The sequence below is a fragment of the Homo sapiens genome, chromosome 10 (assembly GCF_000001405.40).
Source record: "Homo sapiens chromosome 10, GRCh38.p14 Primary Assembly".
NCBI lineage: Eukaryota > Metazoa > Chordata > Mammalia > Primates > Hominidae > Homo > Homo sapiens.
In genome coordinates, this window is record NC_000010.11 from 100,522,155 (window position 1) to 100,535,929 (window position 13,775).

Consider the following 13,775-nt stretch of genomic DNA (forward strand, 5'->3'; position numbering starts at 1 on the left):
GGCAATATACTGTAACTTAAGAATATGTCCCCAAAGGAATATGGGTTGGTTCACTTAAAAATAGACATGAGGGCTGGGTACAGTGGCTCCTGCCTGTATTCCCAGTGCTTTAGGAAGCTGAGGCAGGATTGCTTGAGGCCAGGAGTTTGAGCCAGCCTGGGCAACATAGCAAGATCCCACCTCAACAAAAAATAAGAAACTTAGGTTCGTACATCCCAGTAATCCTAGCTACTAGGGAGGTTGAGTAAGGAGGATCCCTTGAGCCCAGGGGTTTGAGGCTACAGAGAGCTATGATTGTGCTACTGCACTTCCACCTGGGGAACAGAGGAAGATCCTATCTCTAAATAAAACAAAAAACAGATGAATGATAGACTCTCAAAAACATAGTTTTTCTCTAAGACTGTTATAGGAGTGTGGATGAGTCATCAAAAGTAATCAAAGCTATGAACATGTTCAGTAGTAACTCACTGACTGTCCTCCAATTCATAAATACAGGTAATGTCAACTTATTAAGAAGCTATGATTCAGAAGCTGCTTTGGAATAAGGAATATTCTTATAACGGAAATAAGATCAGAGGCAGTCGCAGCCTTAGGCAGACAGGACAAAAACACTTATCAGTCCTGTAATATACTTGAAACACGTTAGAGCACATTTTTTTCCAAGTAACCACTATTATTAAGGAGTTTTTTTTGTTTTTTTTTGTTTTGAGACGGTCTGGCTCTGTCGCCCAGGCTGGAGTGCAGTGCCACCATCTCACCGCAACCTTGACCTCCTGGGTTCAAGGGAGTCTCCTGCCTCAGCCTCTGGAGTAGCTGGGATTACAAGCATACACCACCAAGCTTGGCTAATATTTTGTATTCTTAATAGAGACGGGGTTTTGCTGTGTTAGTCAGGCTAGTCTTCAACTCCTGGCCTCAAGTGATTCACCCGCCTCGGCCTCCCAAAGTGCTGGGTTACAGGCTGAGCCACCACGCCATGCCAAGGTTTTTTTCGAGACAGGGTCTTGCTGTGTTGCCCAGGCTGGAGCAGTGTTGCAAACATGGCTCACTGCACGCTCCTGGGCTCAAATGATCCTCCCAGCTCAGCCTGCTGCACAGCTGGGACCACAGGCGCGCACTGCTGTGCCCAGTGAATTTTCTGAAATTTTTTTTTGCAGAGATGGGGTCTCGTCATGTTGCCCAGGCTAGTCTCAAAGTCCTGAGCTTCAAGCAATCCTTCCACCTCAGCCTCCCAAAGTGTTGGGATAATAGGCGTGAGCTACCAGACCCAGACTAGAAAGGTTTTTTATGTGAAATAAATCTTGTTCCAACTTGGAAAGTTAGGAACATTTCTTCCTTGACCCTGTAAATGGGAAAAGGAGGGACCCTTAACACCTCCACACAGCTAAAACCCTTAAGTACCTTTACAACCCAAGTGAAATTAACAAATTAACATTTTGTGCCTAAGTCCCCATCCACCCCACCCTCTTATCCTTTAAATTTCAGAAAAAGAAAACAGGGAAGACAGCAGACATCAAGCAGAAAAAAAGGGAAAAGGATGAGGTTCCTCAAGGCAGTGACTATTCCTGGGGAAATGAGGCACAAATAACACAGCACTGAGTTTTATTAGGGATTTCATTAAGGTTAAATTTCTAGGAATGAGGGAGTCCTAGTTAGAGGACCCAAAAGCCCACGAAGCCTCCTCAGATCTCATAGTGAACCACCCGCTCTGGTTCTTTGGAGGGATCACCGCCTCGTTCCAGGTACAGATTATTGTAAGGATACTGCTTTGGTCCCTACAGAAAAAAACACAGGTCAGCAAGAACATACATTCAGTCAATACCTGGCTACACCCCACTCTGAGTTAACAATCACGCATGGTAAATGGGTACACAGTAGCCTCTGGTCAGACCCAGCTGGGCTAGGAAGGCAGGAACAGCACTCCTCTTCCTCACTCAGCCCAAGGCAGAGAGAAAGCCTAAATTGTAAGAGAAGTGGTGCCTACACTGTGAGAGAGAAGGAGAAAGGGGGAGGGAAGGGGGTTAGGGAAAGGAGGGGAAGGGAGGAAGACAGGGAGGGAGGTAAAGAAAGAGAGAAGAGTGTGTTAGAGTCAGAGGCAACACTTTCTAAATGAGACGATGCATCCATCCATCCCACTCTCTCTCGGGGTCGAGACAGACTCAATCTCCTTTAAGTCACTCAGCCTCTAATGGTTCCACCACTAAAGTGGCCCAGCAAATGAGGCGTGCAGCAGCAGTGGTGGGGGAAAGCACAGAGGAGACAAGGCTGGGACGTGCTTTAGGGGCTGCTGGCTTTACCAACAAACAGCTGTCAGAGAACACAGCTCAAGGGGAGGAGAAAAGGGTGATGTGCTTACAGAACTGAAAAATGGAAGAGCCACACTGTTCCTTGCTCTCCTGAAGTGAAGTTAGTGCTCACCCTAGCCCTACGTGCATTCTCCAGCATGGAGCCCCTGGGGCTTGGTAGGAAGGCTCGTGTCAGTGCACACAGACATACCAGCTACCTTCAGGACATTGATTGTCTCTGCAGAGGTAGCACTGGGCAGCCAACTGCAAACACAGCAGCCTCCCTGCTTTCAGCTTCTCTCCTTCCAGTACATCCTGGAGACTACTCCTGGATTAATCTTCCTAAGAACTCAGCATTCATTATGTCACTTTTCTGTTCGAAAACCCAAAATGGCTCCCTGCCACCTAGAGGCAGACCAAGTCATCACTGTATCCCCAACCGCTAGCACAGTCTGCATCTGGTACATAGTACAGGCTCCATAAATATTTGTTCAATTAATGCTTTATTACACCATCAAGTCCAAATCCCTTAGCAATGAAATAAAAGCTGCCCAACCTAACTGACCAACTTACCTCACAATATTTTTTAACACAGTGATTTCCAAATCTAGGTGCACATCAGAATTACCTGGGAGCTTGTTAAAAATACCGCTTCTGGAACCCTACTGTGATGCTACTGAATTAGGAGCACCAAGAAGTGGGGCCTGGGAATCTGGGTTTTTAGCAAGTCTCCAGGAAACCAATGCAGCCGGTTATTTAGGAACGATTCTATACCTCTATTCTACTCCAGCTAACTCACCCTCCTTTTCCTTCATTGTTTTCTTTTTTTTTTTTCGAGACAGAGTCTTGCTCTGTTGCCCAGGCTGGGGGGCAGTAGTGTGATTTCAGCTCACTGCAACCTCTGCCTCCCAAGTTCAAAGGATTCCTGTGCCCCAGCCTCCCAAGTAGCTGGGATTACAGGCACGCACCACCATGCCTGGCTAATTTTTTTGTATACTTTGTAGAGACGGGGTTTCACTATGTTGCCCAGGCTGGTCTTGAACTCCTGAGCTCAAGCAATCTGCCCACCTCAGCCTCCCAATGTGCCGGGATTACAGGCGCAAACCACCATACCTGGCCGCCTTCATTGTTTTCTCTTGCCCCAAATGTTTTCTCCAACTTCCCACCACCCAAAGCGTGTGTGTGTGTGTGTGTGTGTGTGTGTGTGTGTGTGTGTGTGTGTGTTAGCATCTAGGTAGCCCTTCTCCTTGACAGTAACTCATACCACTAAGCACATACGTGTGTGTGTGTGTGTGTGTGTGTGTGTGTGTGTGTGTGTGTGTGTGTTAGCATCTAGGTAGCCCTTCTCCTTGACAGTAACTCATACCACTAAGCACATACATTCACTATACACATATATACACATAGATTGTACAGAATTCCCATATATCTGTTCAAATGTTGCTCATGTAACTTATCTAAATTTTCTTAACTAAACTTCCTTAAAGCTAGAGAATTCATTTTCTATGTCCTTTACATTCTCCAAAATGTAAGTCTATGCCTGTAGTAGACTCTTAATTGCTTCCAATATACTACAGGACGTGCCCTTCACAAGTCCAACAAAGGATAAGATTTTCACTCAAGATTCCTTAACTCTACTGTGAAAGATCACTTAATGAAATATTGTTAATAAATATAATCCCCAAATGGCAACTCTGGTGACTAGCTGGTTTCCACACACTCATTGCTCATCTAGTCTTCAAGTGTATCTACTCACCCAGACTGGTCCAAGAAGTAGGGGTGGAGAAGTGCTGTGGTACTTGTGGCAGGCCAATGGGTCAAGGCCCTCCTATCTTCCTATCTCCTAAGACTCCAGGAAGCCAAGCTTGGTATTGACTGGATTCCTACCCCAGAGACTTCACTCCCTCAGGAAATGGGGCTAAGCAAGCGTGCCTAAGGGAGCACTTCTCGGATACTCACCACAGGCTGGTAGACAGGGTACACGTCCCCCACCCAGCACATGAATATCATGAAAGCCAGGAAACCGAAGAGCTGCATACACATGACATGCCAAGAAACAGGTGTGGGGGATGTATCCACACGGTTCCTGTTGTACATGTCTAGGTGCCAGTGCATCTGAGGCAGAAAGACAAATAGCTGTCACATACTACTCTTCCTGCAAAATGCAGGCAAGTCCCCAGTGATTAGAGCCTGATACAAGGCTAGACAGAAGCATTCTACTGCCCTGGGACAATATGCTGAGAACCAGGTCTGAGGCACACTGCCCTACAGGATTAGATGCTGGCCTCTGTCTAGGTTCTGCTGAATAGGGACAGCTCCATCATGGAAGTGCACAACTTTCACAGTACAGAGTTTCATGATTCCCAGACGTCCCATTCAGTGTGCCACATGCAATCTCAGATCTCACATCACTGGACCTTGCTTCCTTGAGCAGGAAAGCTTAGTGTTACTTGGTCAAAGAAGTGCCATCTGAGCTAAAGAATCGCCAAGAAGACAAAGAGAGAAGGAAGGTCAAATGAGATATGGTTCTCTTACCGGTTCACCCCAGTTCAACCTCAGGCCCGGCTGGTCCCAGCTATACCATGGATCTCTCTCATGCTGTGAGCGGTCAGGGAGCTTCGGGTAGTCGCCATACCTGAAAGACAGCAAGAACTTCTGGAAAGGGCTGTGAGCAGCCTCAGACAATTCAGAGTCTCCTCATCTTATAGATGAGAAACAAAGTGACAGAGATAACTGCCTCACCTAAGGACAAAGGAACTAAACCTCAAGGCAAGAGCTCAAGTTCTAGTCACTAAGCACAGAATTAACCATAGAAGTCCACACTGTATTTAAAAGTTCATGGCAAACTCTGAAATATTTTAATGTACATAAGCCTTCCCTGGGCCAGGTGTGGTGGCTCATGCCTATAATCCCAGCACTTTGAGAGGCTGAGGTGGGCAGATCACCTAAGGTCAGGAATTCAAGACCAGACTGGTCAACATGGTGAAACCCCACCTTTACTAAAAATACAAAAATTAGCTGGGTGTGGTGGCAGGTGCCTGTAATATCAGCTACTCAGGAGGCTGAGGCAGGAGAATCACTTGAACCCAAGAAGTGGAGGTTGCAGTGTGCCCAGATCGCACCATTGCACTCCAGCCTAGGCAACAAGAGTGAAACTGTCTGAAAAAAACAAAACAAAACAAAAAAACCCAGCTTCCCCAAACTTCTTTCAATAAAAAGAAAAAAAGTCACACAATCGTGTGATATTAGAGATGAAAGGGAATTTAGCAATCAATTACAGTCATGTGCCACATACCATTTCAGTCAATGACGGACAACATACACGAAGGGGGTCCCATAAGTTTATAATAAAGCTGCCCTATACATATGTACCATTTTTTATCTTTTTCTCTTTTTTGAGACGGAATCTTGCTCTTGTTGCCCAGACTGGAGGGCAATGGCACAATCTCAGCTTACTGCAACCTCCACCTCCCGGGTTCAAGCAATTCTCCCGCCTCAGCCTCCCAAGTAGCTGGGATTACAGGCACCTGCCATCACGCCCAGCTAATTTTTGTATTTTTAGCAGAGACAGGGTTTCGCCACGTTAGCCAGGCTGGTCTTGATCTCCTGACCTCGTGATCTGCCTGCCTTGGCCTCCCAAAGTGCTGGGATTACAGGCGTGAGCCACTGTGCCTGGCCCATTTTTTATCTTTTATAGCATACTTTTATGTACCTTTTCTATGTTTAGATACACAAATACCATTGTGTTACAATTTCCCACAGTATTAAGTATAGCAATATGCTGTACAGGTTTGTGGCCTCAGAGCAACAGGCCATACCATAAAGCCGAGGTGTGTAGCAGGCCATACCATCTAGGTTTCTGTAAGTACACTCCTAATGTTCATACAATGAGGAGATAACCTAACAACCCATTTCTCAGAATGTATCCCTGTTGTTAAGTGACATATGACTGTACTCTGATTCCCTCATTAGATAGAAAATGAAAAATTAAAGTTTAGAGTCTGAATCCAAAGTCACCCAGCTAATTGGAATAAAAACAAAAAGGGTACAGATTAGAAAAGCACTCTTCTCGTAATAACTGTGTTCTTGACCACCCAGTTGGCATTCATCTCTGCGTCTCAAACACCTCATGGGACCTCTTGCTAAGCTGGGTTTTCCCCAACAAATCCAGGTTCATCTGACACTGGCTTCGAACAAGGCTGCTCTTGTCCACAACATAAGAAAAAACAGGAAATGATGACAACTAGACATATGCTACAGAAAATGAGTGTATAACAAGAAGAATAGAAGTTGCTGAAACCAAGATTGAAAGAGTGACATTAGGACAGGAAATAAAGGCGATGATAATCACTTCAGATAATTAACCATTGGGATGTTATGTGGGTATGGATACGGAAGAGTGTGGAAGGGATAGGATAACATCAACTGGAGTACGTAAGGGGGCTGGCTGTTTAATCTGCTTAATAGTTGCTACGATTTCCACAGCACTAACAGAAAAACATTTTTTTTAAAGAGACATACACACAAATATAGAGTACTCCGTTTACAAATAAGATTCTCATGACAGGAGTCCAGCTCCAGCCTGGTCACATGCCTGGATGACAGCACCTGAGCGCAGCAGATGCTCAATCTAAATGAAACTCGACGCTCTGGATAGAGCCAAGGAAGGCTCCTGCTATTCGGGGGTCCTCGAGGGAGCCATTAAAACCTCGGCTTCCTCATTTGAGGAAACAGCCTGAGCCAAGGAGAAAATTGAAGTCCTCTCAGCTGCAGCTGCTCACCCACCCCCCTCCCACCTCCCTCCACAGAGAAAAGCACCCACTCCATTGACTCTGAGGGGTCACGAGAAGGTTCGGGAAAAAGGGTCACAGTCAAGCCACCCAACCCAGCCGGCCTTCTCCCATCACTACTTGGGTGCGAGCATACCCTCTCTGTCTCACCCCATGCCATCATCCGGGTAAGGTTCGTAGTCTTCCACACGCATATTATACTTCTTGGCGGCGGCGGCCCGTTCTTCTGGGGTCCTAGGATAGGGCCCCGGGAACATGTCCTTGGTCATGTGGGAGGCTAGAACGCAGAAGAGAACAGGTCAGAAGCGAGCCCGCTCTCCAGCCGCTCCGAAGGCTTCAAGTCGCAGGGGCTGCAGAGGTCCGAGCCCGGGACTTCGCAGGATCAGTGCGATCCTCCACCCCATTTTCTGGATATATCAACGCCACCTCCACTCCCTACCCGGAGGCTGCCGCCGCGGCATCTACGATCCCCCCTCCCGATACACCAAATTTCAGGTACCCCCTTCCCACACTGAGGTCTCGCCCGTTCTCGCGGACCTGTCCGTGCGCCCAGCGGCATCACGTTCCGGGATGCCCTTTGCAGCCACTGGACTCCCAAGACCCCGGCCCTGGCCACCGCCATCTTCACCTTCTTCACGTTTCCCTTCTGCACATGCGCAAAGGCCTGTCACGGCGGCTGAGCCGGGCCAAACGTGACGGAGGAAGCCGGGAGTGAAGAAAAGCCGAAGGGTTCAACAGGGGCGGGGTTTAAATACGCAGTTGGGAAGCCAAGGGTTGGATAGAGGCTGGGAAGGATAAGCGGGAAGAAGGGAAAACCAGGCAGGTCTCTGACATTTCAGAATGTTGTGTCCTTTTTCTCCCTGAGCTGACTTAGACCCATCCAGGGATGATGGGAACTCGGAACCTGAGCAACTCAGGTAGACAGCTTAACCACCTCCCCCAGGAGCTGTACTAGTGAAATGAGCCTGTCTTACTCTCTTCTCTGGCTGCTTGCTTTCCTCTCCTTCACGGGCACTTCCTTCCATCCCCAAACATGATCATTCTTCAAATTCACCTGTTGGTCTTGCTTGTTGTTCTGTTCTCCAAATGGGTTGATCTTCACTTAGACGCCAGTGCAACACACAATTCGGCCCTGAATTGGCTCCTTAGTTTCAGTCCGTGTTTCCATCTGCATGTCTCAGTCACCTCAACCCAACAAATGTAAAATTAAACTTATCACCAGAGGCAGCTCTCCAGAGACAGCTTAAAGCCTCAGAGTTGGTAGGACTTGGATAAAACAAATTACAAACCGGCCCATAATGAACAAACTAACTCAACAGAAGAATTGGAGACATTATTATGTTTGCATATGAATGTTTTCACTTGGGATTTGAATAACTTACACATTATAAATATGCACGTATTTCCAGTGACTTTTCAGGTGACCACTGTTTTGGAGCAGAACCTATTATTATAAACATTCTCAAGTATATATCAGAGCAATAAAAATGCATATAAGCTGGGAGCTGTGGCTCACACCTGTAATCCCAACACTTTGGGAGGCCTAGGTTGGAGAATGGCTGGAGACCAGGAGTTTGAGACCAGCCTGGGTGACATAGTGAGACTTCGTCTCTTTTTTTTTAAGTTATAAAAAGTAAACAAATATGGATATATACTATTTAATATATAAATTTTGGGAAGGACTACACAGCAACTTGCTGTCTTGTAAATGACATCACTAGTTGATGTTCAGAATAATTGCACAACATCTGCATTCAACCAATAGCAAACCCTGATCCAATTTAGGTCAAGAAACAGAGTTGATCTAATTTATTTATTTTTATTAAGATATTATTCACATACCATAAATTCACCCTTTTAGGCCGGGTGCGGTGGCTCACGCCTGTAATCCCAGCACTTTGGGAGGCTGAGGTGGGAAGATTACTTGAGGTTAGGAGTTCAAGACCAGCCTGGCCAACACAGCAAAAACCCATCTCTACTAAAAATACAAAAATAGCTGGGCATGGTGGTGTACACTTGTAATCCCAGCTACTCAGGAGGCTGAGGCAAGAGAATCACTTGAACACAGGAGATGGAGGTTGCAATGAGCCGAGATCACGCCACTGCACTCCAGCCTGGGTGACAGGGTGAGACTGTCTCAAAAACAAAAAACAAACAAACAAAAACAAAAACAAAAAAACCTTTTAAAGTGTACAGTAGTTATTTTTAGTACATTTACAAAGTTGTGCAATCATCATCACTATCTAAAACATTTTTATTGCTTCCGAAAAAACCCATACACATTAGCACGTTGCCCCTACCTCTACCCACTGGCAACCACTAATTTACTTTCTGTTTCTATGGATTTGCCTATTCAGACAGTTTATATAAATGGATCATGCAATATGTGGCCTTTTGTGTCCATTTTCTTTCACTTAGAATAATGTTTTCAAAGTTTGTCTGTGTTGTAGCACATATCAGTACTTCATTCCTTTTTGGGCTGTATAATATTCCATTATATGAATGTACAGTACAATATTTTATTTATACATTTATCAGTTAATGGACATTTGAGTTGTTTCTGCTTGTTTGGCTATTGTGAATAATGCTGCTGTGAACATTCTTGTATAAGTTTTTGTCTGGATGTATGCTTTCTATTCTTTTGGTTATATGCCTAGGAGTAGAATTGCTGGGTCATAGGGTAACTCTGTGGTTTAACTTTTGAAGAACTGCCAAATTGTTTTTCAAAGCAGCTGTGACATGTTACATCCCCATTAGCAGTGTGTGAGAGGGTTTCAGTTTCTCCACATCTTTATCAACACTTGTTATTGTCTCTTTTTAGTATCACCATGCAAGTGCCTGTGAATGGTACTTCATTGCAGTTTTCATTTGCAGTACCCTGATGACTAATAATGCTGAGCATCTTTCCATGTGCTTATTGGCCATGGTATACCTTCTTTGGAGGAATATCTGTTCAAACCCTTTGTTCATTTTTAAATTGGTTTGTCTTTTTATTGTTGAGTTGTAAGGATTCTTTATGTATTCTAGATACAATTCCCTGATCAGATACACAATTCATAAATATTTTCTCTGACTCTGTAGGTTTTTTTGCTTTTTTACAGTATCATTTGGAACCCTGTGTTTATCAGGAAGGGGTGTTGGGGTTTGTCAAAAGCTTTTTCTGTGTCTATTGAGATGATCATGTAGGGTTTTTTCTTTTACTAATATAGTGTATTATGTTGATTATAAATATTAATCAATAAAATATTGATTACTACATGGTGTGTTATATTGATCATTCTGAGATGTTGAACTGACCTTGCATTCCTGGAATAAATCCCACTTGGTCATAGTATATAATTCTTTTATATGGTGTTACACTGAGTTTGCTAGTATTCTGTTAGGATTTTTGCATCTATATTCATAAGAAATATTGGTCTATAGTTTTCTTTCTTTCTTTTTTTTTTTTTTTGAGACGGAGTATCGCTCTGTTGCCCAGGTTGGAGTGCAGTGGTGCAATCTCGGCTCACTGCAAGCTCCGCCTCCCAGGTTCACGCCATTCTCCTGCCTCAGCCTCCTGAGTAGCTGGGACTACAGGTACCCGCCACCATGCCCGGCTAATTTTTTTGTATTTTTAGTAGCGACAGGGTTTTACCGTTTTAGCCAGGATGGTCTCGGTCTCCTGACCTCGTGATTCACCCGCCGTGGCCTCCCAAAGTGCTGGGATTCCAGACATGAGCCACTGCACCCAGACCAGTGTTAATTTTTTAAAAAATGTTTGGTAGGATTCATCAGTAAATCTATCTGGTCTTGAGCTTTTCTTTTTCTTTTTCTTTTTTTTTTTTCCTGAGATGGAATCTTGCTCTGTTGCCCAGGCTGGAGTCAGTGGCACGATCTCAGCTCACTGCAACCTCCGCCTCCGGGATTCAAGCGATTCTCCTGCCTCAGCCTCCCAAGTAGCTGGGACTACAGGCGTGCACCACCATGCCTGGCTAATTTTTGTATTTTTGATAGCGATGGGGGTTTTACCATGTTGGCCAGGCTAGTCTCGAACTCCTGACCTCAGGTGGTCCCCCCGACCTCGGCCTCCCAAAGTTCTGAGATTACAGGCATGAGCCACTGTGCCCAGCCTTTTCTTTTCTTTTGAGACAAGGCCTAGCTCTGTCTCAAAAGGCTGGAGTGCAGTGGTGCAATCTCAGTTGACTGCAACCTCCACATTCCGGGCTCAAGTGATCCTCCCACTTCAGCTTCCCGAATAGCTGGAACTACAGGCGTGCCACCATGCCTGCTAATTTTTTTTTTTTTTTTTTTTTGGCTGGGGGGATTTGGTAGAGATGGGGTTTCTCCATGTTGCCCAGTCTGGTCGCGACCTTCTGGGCTCAAGTGATTCGCTTGCCTCTGCCTCCCAAAGTGTAGGGATTACAGATGTAAGCCACCATGCCCAGTTTCTGGGCTTTTCTTTATGGGATGTTTTTGATTCCTAATTCAATCTCTTGTTACAGGTCTATTCAGATTTTCCATTTCTTCTTGAATCAGCTATTATAGCTTGTGCCTTTCTAGGAATCTGTCCATTTCATCTAGGTTCTGTAATTTTTTGACATACAATTGTTTACAGTATGTCCTTATATGCTTTTTTTGGGGGGTAAAGTCAGCAGTAATATCCCTGTTTCATTACTGATTTTAGTTCTTTTAATCTTCTTGATCTTAATTAATTTATTTATTTTTAGTAAGACAGGATCTTGCTCTGTCATCCAGGCTGGAGTGCAGTGGCATGATCATGGCTCATTGCAGCCTGCACCTCCCAGGCTCAAACAATCCTCCTACCTCAGCCTCCCTAGTAGCTGGGACTACAGGCATGCATCAACGCACCGAGCTAATTTTTAAAATTTTTTGTAGAGATGAGGTCTTGCTATGTTGCCCAGGCTGATCTGGAACACCCAGGCTCAAGTAATCCTCCTGCCTCAGCCTTGAAAAGTCCTGGGATTACAGGCATGTGCCACCATGCCTGGCCTAATTTATTTTTAATTCCCAAGGTTATGAATTAATACATTCTTGTAAAAATTCAAACATTCAGCCTGAGCAACATGGCAAAACCCTTTCTCTACAGAAGGAAAAAAAATTAGTCCGGCATGGTGGTGTGTGCCTTTAGTCCCAGCTACTTGGGAGGCTATGGTAGGAGGATTGCTTGAGCTGGGGAGGTGGAGGTTGCAGTGAACCAAGATTGCATCACTGCACTCCAGCCTGGGTGACAGAGTGAGACCCTAGCTCAAAAAAAAAAAAAAAATTCAAACACTGCAGATAAAATGAAAGCCTTGATTGCCCCCTGCAGCCTCAAACACTTCCACAGAGGTAGCCCTATTATCGGTTTGGTGTAGCATGGTTACTATGTAGCATAATTACATAGTTAAGCCAGTGCATTCATTTCTATTACTGCATAACAAATTACTGTAAATTTAGCAGCCCAAAACACCAATTTATTTTCTCACATATTCCATGAGTCCAGGTACTGGTTGGCTGAGTCCTCAGCTCAGGGTCTTATCAGGCTGAAATCAAGGTGTTGGCTGGGTTAGCGATCTCATCTGAGGCTCCGTGTGTGTCCTTTCCCAAGTTCAGTGGTTGTTGCCAGAATTCAGTTACTTGCATTTGTAGGATTAAGGTGCCCACTTTCTTGTTGGCTGTCACCCAGGAGCCTTTCTCAGCTCCTAGAGTCCACCTGCCATTTCCTGCCATATGGCAGTTTGCTCCTTCAAGGTGAACAGGACAGCTGTGCTGTGGCTTCAAATCTCTTAGATTCTGTCTCTGACCTCTAGCCCTGATTTAAAGGGCTAGAGTGATAAGATGAAGCCCACCAGGATAAATCACCTCTTTTTGACTGCCTTAAAGTTAATTGATTAGGGACTTTAATTACATCCTTGTCATATAAGCTAACCTAATTACAGGAGTGATGCTCTATCATATTCACAGTCGTGTTTTCTTTTAAGGGGAGAAATGTATACAGGATGTGTACACCGTAGGGTACAAATCTTGGGATACATCTTAGAATTGGGCCTCTCACAGCCAGCCATAAGAACTGTCCAAGTAAGCAATAGAGGTATTAATATGGCCTTTTATAATCAGTATAGATTGTTTGAAAATGTGAGATGTCCATGGTTGGCCTCTAATAACATTCGATTCACGGCAAACATATATTCAAGTAGGAGACATGGTGATATAGGCAGAAAAATCAAATGATGCTAAACAAAAGAAAACTGTCTTTGATTTTGAAAGAATTCAACTTGCTGTATATCTTTTGCCTAAGCCTTCAGTCAGCCTTTGCTCTACATCTACCAATGTGATCACTGCTTTTCCTTCTGACTTCTTTAGGTGGGTCAAGAGTTTGCTTTTCTCCCCATTCATGAGTGTAAAGTTTAATGCCTAACTGAACTTGCTTCCTTCTTTGACTCTTGTGTAGACTCGGGCACATGGGGCAACTTTTTTTGTGTTTTGCTCTACCAGGTCGTCCCTATTCCGTGGGACTAGTGTCTAGCCCCATTTCTTCAGCAGTGGAGCCTAGGATGTAGAGCTGCATACTACCATTAGGAGGCGCACCCTCAGGCCTCGGCTCCGCGTTCTTTATGTCTCTGGACCGCTCTCTCTCGCAGCTCATCTCTATGGTTTCCGTTGGGTGTGTGGTTTTTTTGTTTTTTTTTTTTTGGGGTCCGGAATAGGCGGAGCTTCCGGT

At 44.9% G+C, this 13,775-nt stretch overlaps 1 protein-coding gene across 3 annotated transcripts, besides 5 other annotated features; it reads right to left on the reverse strand.

Annotated features, from left to right (window-relative positions):
* Positions 1 to 1,574: 1,574 nt before the first annotated feature.
* NDUFB8 (NADH:ubiquinone oxidoreductase subunit B8) lies at positions 1,575 to 7,769 on the reverse strand. Of its 3 annotated transcripts, none has more exons than NM_001284368.1 (5): positions 7,704 to 7,769; positions 7,226 to 7,352; positions 4,821 to 4,920; positions 4,245 to 4,400; positions 1,575 to 1,775 (listed from the first exon to the last, which is right to left on the reverse strand). In NM_001284368.1, exons 2-5 carry the CDS (start codon positions 7,342 to 7,344, stop codon positions 1,683 to 1,685), a joined length of 468 nt encoding a protein of 155 aa, NP_001271297.1. In that variant the 5' UTR covers positions 7,345 to 7,352; positions 7,704 to 7,769; the 3' UTR covers positions 1,575 to 1,682. The 3 variants fall into 3 exon arrangements, with proteins under 3 accessions (NP_001271297.1, NP_004995.1, NP_001271296.1); NM_005004.4 differs by having other exon boundaries at positions 1,586 to 1,775; positions 7,613 to 7,717; NM_001284367.2 differs by having other exon boundaries at positions 1,586 to 1,985; positions 7,613 to 7,717.
* Positions 6,412 to 6,581: an enhancer, noted in NCBI's record as "active region_3893". NCBI's record gives its function as "activates an Ori minimal core promoter by ATAC-STARR-seq in GM12878 lymphoblastoid cells {active_cell/tissue: GM12878}" and the evidence as "EXISTENCE:reporter gene assay evidence [ECO:0000049][PMID:35858748]".
* Positions 7,424 to 8,006: an enhancer, noted in NCBI's record as "H3K27ac hESC enhancer chr10:102289335-102289917 (GRCh37/hg19 assembly coordinates)". NCBI's record gives its function as "activates a minimal SCP1, AML or CMV promoter by ChIP-STARR-seq in primed H9 embryonic stem cells {active_cell/tissue: H9 hESC(primed)}" and the evidence as "EXISTENCE:reporter gene assay evidence [ECO:0000049][PMID:30033119]".
* Positions 8,140 to 8,189: an enhancer, noted in NCBI's record as "active region_3894". NCBI's record gives its function as "activates an Ori minimal core promoter by ATAC-STARR-seq in GM12878 lymphoblastoid cells {active_cell/tissue: GM12878}" and the evidence as "EXISTENCE:reporter gene assay evidence [ECO:0000049][PMID:35858748]".
* Positions 13,549 to 13,638: an enhancer, noted in NCBI's record as "active region_3895". NCBI's record gives its function as "activates an Ori minimal core promoter by ATAC-STARR-seq in GM12878 lymphoblastoid cells {active_cell/tissue: GM12878}" and the evidence as "EXISTENCE:reporter gene assay evidence [ECO:0000049][PMID:35858748]".
* Positions 13,709 to 13,768: an enhancer, noted in NCBI's record as "active region_3896". NCBI's record gives its function as "activates an Ori minimal core promoter by ATAC-STARR-seq in GM12878 lymphoblastoid cells {active_cell/tissue: GM12878}" and the evidence as "EXISTENCE:reporter gene assay evidence [ECO:0000049][PMID:35858748]".

Excerpts from the sequence above, each read along its gene's own strand:
- NDUFB8 (NM_005004.4), bottom strand. The coding sequence starts at position 7,697 with ATGGCGGTGGCCAGGGCCGGGGTCTTGGGAGTCCAGTGGCTGCAAAGG. Across the intron at positions 7,353-7,612 it reads GCCGCTGGGCGCACGGACAG|CCTCCCACATGACCAAGGAC; the intron begins GTCCGCGAGAAC and ends TCTGCGTTCTAG. Across the intron at positions 4,401-4,820 it reads GGTTGAACTGGGGTGAACCG|ATGCACTGGCACCTAGACAT; the intron begins GTAAGAGAACCA and ends TTTCTGCCTCAG.